This window comes from Homo sapiens, chromosome 2, assembly GCF_000001405.40.
Source record: "Homo sapiens chromosome 2, GRCh38.p14 Primary Assembly".
In the NCBI taxonomy this organism is placed as follows: Eukaryota; Metazoa; Chordata; class Mammalia; order Primates; family Hominidae; genus Homo; species Homo sapiens.
The window spans coordinates 16011967-16018378 of NC_000002.12; the positions used below are offsets into that span (position 1 = coordinate 16011967).

The 6412-nt window shown below is 48.4% G+C and overlaps 1 annotated feature.

Moving 5' to 3' along the window:
* Nucleotides 1482–2093: an enhancer, noted in NCBI's record as "H3K27ac-H3K4me1 hESC enhancer chr2:16153570-16154181 (GRCh37/hg19 assembly coordinates)". NCBI's record gives its function as "activates a minimal SCP1, AML or CMV promoter by ChIP-STARR-seq in naive H9 embryonic stem cells {active_cell/tissue: H9 hESC(naive)}" and the evidence as "EXISTENCE:reporter gene assay evidence [ECO:0000049][PMID:30033119]".

Genomic DNA, 6412 nt, shown 5'->3' on the forward strand with positions numbered 1-6412 from the left:
ACCAGGTGCTTTGATGCCATATCTGCAAAACTCCCACTCTAATTTATGGAATGAATTATGTGAAAACAAATGAAAACTCACCTGGGAAACTGGTAGAGTGCTTTACTTTTCCATTTGTCTTAGTCTATTTGGGCTGCTATAAGCAGTTTGAAAATGTGCAAAGCCTCCTCCATGTGCAAAGCTCTCAGAATGATGGTTTAACAAAGGCATCATGGCCAGGTGAGGTTGCTCATGCCTGTAATCCCAGCGCTTTGGGAGGTAAAGATGGGAGGATTGCTTGAGGCCATGACTTTGTGACCAACTTAGGCAACATAGCAAAACCCCATTTTTACAAAATAATGAATGAGTGAATGAATAAATAAATAAAATAATAATAAAATAAAAACTAAAAAATTAGCTGGGTGTGGTGGTGTGCCCCTGTAGTCCTGGAAACTCAGGAGGCTGAGTTGGGGGGATTGTCTGAGCCCAAGAGCTCAAGGCTACAGTGAGCTATGATGGCACTGCTGCACTCCAGCCTGGGAGACAGAGTGAGATCCTGTCTTAAAAAACAAACAAACAACAACAACTACAACAAAAAGGCGCCTTGGGAGAGGAAGCTCATTCCCAGCAGACCTGTGACACAGCCTGTCTCCCCAGCGAACCCAGACCATTTCCCACTCTGTGGGCAGATTGACCAAGCAACAGCACTTTTCTGTCTTCATCTGGAGTCCCTGGCAGAGGCCACCTCACTGAGGTTCAAGGCAATCCAGACTCTTGGGTAGAGCACACTCTGATGGTGGCACTACATCAGCTTGCACGAGCATGTGGCACAGGGGCCAGGCAGGAGCTGGTGTCTGCAAGGAGCCGGGAAGGGAGGGGCTCCTAGGCTTGCCACGGCTGCAGTCTCCAGGAATGAAAACCTGTCCTGCCAGTTGCATATGTAGCAATTTTGAATGCAAATAGCCACTTCCCAGATTTTTTTTTCTTTCTTCCCAGCAAAACACCCACATCATTTCCTTCCTTTGTTGGGCCCTTCCTGAGACCACTGGCTGGGGGCACATAGTAGGCACTCAATAAATATTTGCCGAGTGCGTGAATGGGTGGTAATCCAGCACTAATCCCCCTCTCTTCAGCTCCCCACCCCCAGGAAGAAATAAAAGATGTCCATTTGTGGCTTGGCCACATTCAGGCAAACTTCCATATTGCTGCCAAGTCCTGCCATCTGCCACCTCCGAGGTGCAGGTGCTGGGCACCCACAAAGCCCGGCCGTGGGCACAAAGGCCCGATGTGCACTGATAATTGCCGAGTGCACAGCCCGCCAGGCCGGCCAGGCTGATGCAAGTTTGCTGGGTCTGCTGAGATTTGCATACAGATGGCCAGTCGGGGCGCAGGGCCGCCGCCACCGCGACAACGCCGCCCGCGCCCCGGGTAGACCGGCCGCAGCCCCTTTAGAAGTGCGGGAGGCTTTGACTGCAGCCGAGCCCCAGAGAGGCCTCATTCTGCCTGTCCTGAATAGTCCGTCATTCAAAGCAACGCTTTGAAATTTGAAAAAGAGAGAGAGGAAAAGAGAGAGAGGAGAGACTGAAAAGCAGAGAGAGAGAAACAGAGACACACAGAGAGACAGGCAGAGACAGAAAGAGAGACAGAGACAGGGAGACAGAGACTGAGACTGAGACAGAAAGATTCAGACAGAGACTGAGAGAGGCTGTGAGACAGAGACAAACAGTGAGAGAGCTAGAGAAAGAGAAGGAGAGCTTGGAGGAAGGGGAAAAAAAAGCAAATTCTTTTCTTTGTGAGACTGGGGAGTGTTGGGCAAGGAGCCAGGGGGCTTCAAGAATGTGAGCGAGGCACCAGGAAGGAGGGGATCTCTGTGGAGACGCAGCTTCGGACGTGTGGCATGCACTCTCCTCCTGGTCATCCGGAGCAAGGGTCTTCAGAGCCCGAGATGCGCGACGCGCAGGAAGCACCAGAGAGGGTGGCGGGAAGAAAAGGCACCTCCATCACTTTGAAATGTCAGAGGCAAGTTGCGGCTGCGTTGAAACTAACAAAAAGAAAACACCTGCACACGCAGAAATTTTTAAAAACCCCTGTAAGCAAAACCACAAGCTCCGAAGGTAAAGCCGGAGGAGCTGTCCCTGAGTCGCGCCCGGGAGCCCCTCCGCTGTCAGTAGGTGCCGAAGGCATTTGTTCTTTGTGTGTCTTCATCTCATTTGGTTTGGAAACGGCTCGCAGGGGGAGTGTCCAGGCCTCAGGGACACGCCCGGGCGCTCTGGGCATCGGACACATGGCAGGTGTTCCGGCCTCGCCTGATTCAGCCCGGCTCTCTGTTTAACAACCATCCCGAGGCCTTCGCTTCATGTTTACTAATACCCCTCGCCCTCAGTCCTCCCACCAGCTCCCCCACCCCACCGACATCAGTGAATGACCAACACAGCTAAAAACAAGAAAGGCGTTATTGAGAGAGGGTTGCCTCCCTTGTCCAAACTAAATGAAAGGGAAATAGAATAGCAACAGAGAGTAGCTATTTATCATGTTCCTAACGGAACGTTCCAACCTGCTTCCCGTCCTGTGTCACCTCTGTATGAGAAATCTGGACGCCCGCCTAGATTTTCCACTGTCACCCTCAGCAGCCAGGCAAGCCCCGGGGCGTCGGCTCTCCTGCCTTTAACTTGCTACTGTCCATCTGCACTTTCTGCAGGCTGCCCCATGGCCCGTGGGGGCGCCTCTAGCGCTCCTTTTCTTCACCCTTGGCTCCTCACCCCCCAACCCATCTTCTCTCACTGCAGCCAGAAAGCTGTTTCTAAAACACCATTTTAGTTATATCTCTGTCTTCCTTAGAACAGTCCAACGACGGATGACTGTCATCCTGAGAATAAAGACCAACCTCTTCAGGTTGGCATGGAAACCCTCATTGGTCCAGTTGCTCTCCTGCACCTTGCAGGCTGGCCCTGCACCTTGCACCTAATGAACAAACTGCTTCTAGATTCCTCCCTAGTCTGGGTTGTTTCACGTCCTTGCCTCTTTCCTAAAATGGCGTCACTTCTTGGCTTGCCCTTACCTCACTTGATGAACAAGATGAGGCTCCTTCCTTCCTCCTGCCTACCTTTCCTTTTTTCTTCCATTCAGCTGGCAAGTACTTTTTTGGTACCAAGCCGATCTCAGGTGCTGAAGAGAAAGGGATGGAGAGAGGAACACTTTTGTCTTCCACACTTTCCCCTAGTATTGTAAGGCAAGCAGAGGGGGTAACAGTGGGGCCCCCTGCCGTGGTACCCCACACCCCTTCCCAGGCGAGACAGGATGGTATGGGGCCCCCTGCCATGGTACCCCATCCCCCTTCCCAGGTGAGACAGAATGGTATGGGGCCCCCTGCTGTGGTACCCCATCCTCCTTCCAGGCGAGATGGCTAAGGAGCCCCCTGCCGTGATACCCCACACCCCTTCCCAGGCGAGAGAAGATGGTATGGGGCCCCACACCCCTTCCAGGCGAGACAGGATTGTATGGGCCCCCTGCTGTGGTACCCCACACCCCTTCCCAGGCGAGACAGGATGATATGGGGCCTCCTGCCGTGGTACCCCATCCCCCTTCCCAGGCGAAACAGGACAGTATGGGGCCCCCTGTTTTGTTACCCCATCCCCCTTCCAGGTGAAACAGGATGGTATGGGGCCCCCTGCCTTGGTACCCCATACCCCTTCCAGGCGAGACAGGATGGTAGTTTCCACCGTCTGGATCCAGACATTGACTGTTTTTCCATCAGAGGCAAAGCCAATGAACTCAAGACTAGTGAACCCTGAACCGAACGATTTTCGTCAATATTTTCATCATATGTTTATCGTCTGAAACTTTGCCAAGAGCTCAGGGGAAGTTATTCCCAGAGGATCAATCACAGAGAGTCAATCGTGAAAGAGAAAAGGGAAGTTACTGATAATTTGACCCAGACATAGTTTTATGATCTCTTTTTCCTTTCACCACTTGAAAGGTCAGAACAAAACTCACTTTAGATGCTGTATTTCATTCTTTCAACAAATATTTGACTCGAATGAATGAGACTGTGAGTGAGGTATTTGTGTGATGATTTTCTGTGAATTAGCTCTGAAATGTGAATATTTTCATGCTCAGGAACATACCCCTATGTGGTGACTTTCTCAGAATAACTTTGTACATGCTCTTCTCATTCACTGCAGGTCTTGCATGGATTTTGGCCAAAAGCAATACAGTCTGGTCTAACCAGAAATGGAAAGATGTGCTATAATTTAAAAAGCGTTGCAGGGAGCAGAATAGCTAAGTAAAATGGTTTCTTGCCTGGCTTTTAGTTGACAATAACCCTTCTTCAGGCTTCTGCTGATTCCTCCATAACTTAGCAATAGGCAGAGCATTTTCAAGGGCTGGGCATTGGGGGGGTGGCAGAGGGGAGGGGAGAATAAATGATCATAAATATGAGAAAACAATATAAGTATTGTAGATGAGCTCACAAGCACTTTGGGAAGCCAAGGTGGGAGTAGCTCTTGAGGCCAGCTCTTTGAGACCAGCCTGGGCAACACAGTGAGACTCCATCTCACAAAAAATAAAAAAAAATTAGCTGGGTGCATTGGTGCATGCTTGTAGCCCCAGCTACTTGGGAGACTGAGGCAAGAGTATCGCTTGATCCTGAGAGGTGGAGGCTGCAGTGAGCTATGATCACACCACTGCACTCCAGCTGGGCAACAAAGTGAGACCCTGTCCCCTCCCCCAACCCCCCCCCCCCAAAAAAAAACGACACAATATATTGTAGGTGATTTCAAAGTGTTCACCTTAGTCAGTTTCATCTCATTTCAAACTAAATTTGCATCAGTGTTGGAAAGACAATGTGGTAAAAACAAAGAGAAGAGACAATGTCAGAGGAACTATGGAAACCCTGTTACCAGGGATATGATTTGGGGCCAGGCACTCACGCTTGCTGAACACATTTTTCTTAGCTTTAAAGATAATAACACCTCCTTTCTAGGCTTTTTGTAAGGATTAAGTGAAATAATGTATACCCAGTGGAGTATCTGGCAAATAATATGGTGCGAAAAAGGTATTATTATTATTATTTATATTTATTATTGGTAAGAACAAAGTAAAAATGAAGAAAGAAACCTATGGACGGTTGGATCTTTTACCCACAGAAAGTATGCAACAGAAACAAATAATTATTGCACCTTAGCTGCCCTGTTTCTAATTGTACTTCATTTGCAACATTTTCTTTATGGCAAGTTCACAAACATGAAGTGGCACTAACTTTATTTAGAGTACGAAATGGCTGTGTTCCCACTTCCTAGTCACTTCAAGGGGCAATAGCTATTGAAATATAATATATTATAAGACATCACTCAGATAAATTCCATTTAATTCTATTCAACAGATATTTCTGGAATGTAACAGACATTTCTGGAAGAGCAAGGCACTATGATGTGGGCAACAAAATGACTAGAATGAGTAATACATGTAAGAGCTCTAACAGATTACTACAGCAACACAGCCTGGGATGTTCAGTGCCCTGACGCTGAACCCCGCCCCGCAACTGACTCAGGGACCTTGAGCAAGTTACTTAACTTCTTCTTCAACTGTAAAAAGAAAATAGTACATTTGATCTTGCAGGGTTGCTGTGAAGAAGAGAAGAGAGTAGAGATAGACAGGTAGGATACCTGGCGTTGGGGCACAAGCTAGTCTCAGGCAATTTTAACGTATGGACAAGTGTAGCCATGACATTGTCATCAACGGGCATAGCAACTTGTTCTCTTACTATGATGCTTTCCTTGGCTTCTTCTCTCTGCTCCAGGCCAGAGGCCACCAAAGCTATGGGCTGTCAGCCCGGGGCAACAGTAGGCATGAGAGAGGCAAGTTAGCTTTTCAGTGCCACGAAGACTAGAGCGTCTTGGAAAACTGGGGCCTCCCTGAGCCTTGCTTTCCTCCTTTCACTAATGGGGAGATTCTGCCCTTTCTTTCTTTCTTTCTTTCTTTCTTTCTTTCTTTCTTTCTTTCTTTCTTTCTTTCTTTCTTTCTCTTTCGTTCTTTCTTTCTTTCTCTTTCTTTCTTTCTTTCTTTCTTTCTTTCTTTCTTTCTTTCTTTCTTTCCTTCCTTCCTTCCTTCCTTCCTTCCCTTCCCCTTCCTTCCTTCCTTCCTTCCTTCCTTCCTTCCTTCCTTCCTTCCTTCCTTCCTTCCCTCCTTCCTTCCTTCCTTCCTTCCTTCCTTCCTTCCTTCCTTCCTTCCTTCCTTCCTCTCTCTCTCTCTCTTTCTTTCTTTCTTTCTTTCAATGGCGTCTTGCTCTGTCTCCCAGGCTGGAGTGATTGGTGCAATCTTGACTCACTACAACCTCCACCTCCCGGGTTCAAATGATTCTCTTGCCTCAGCACCCTGAGGAGCTGGGACTACAGGCGCACAGCACCATGCCCAGCTAATTTCTACATTTTCAGCA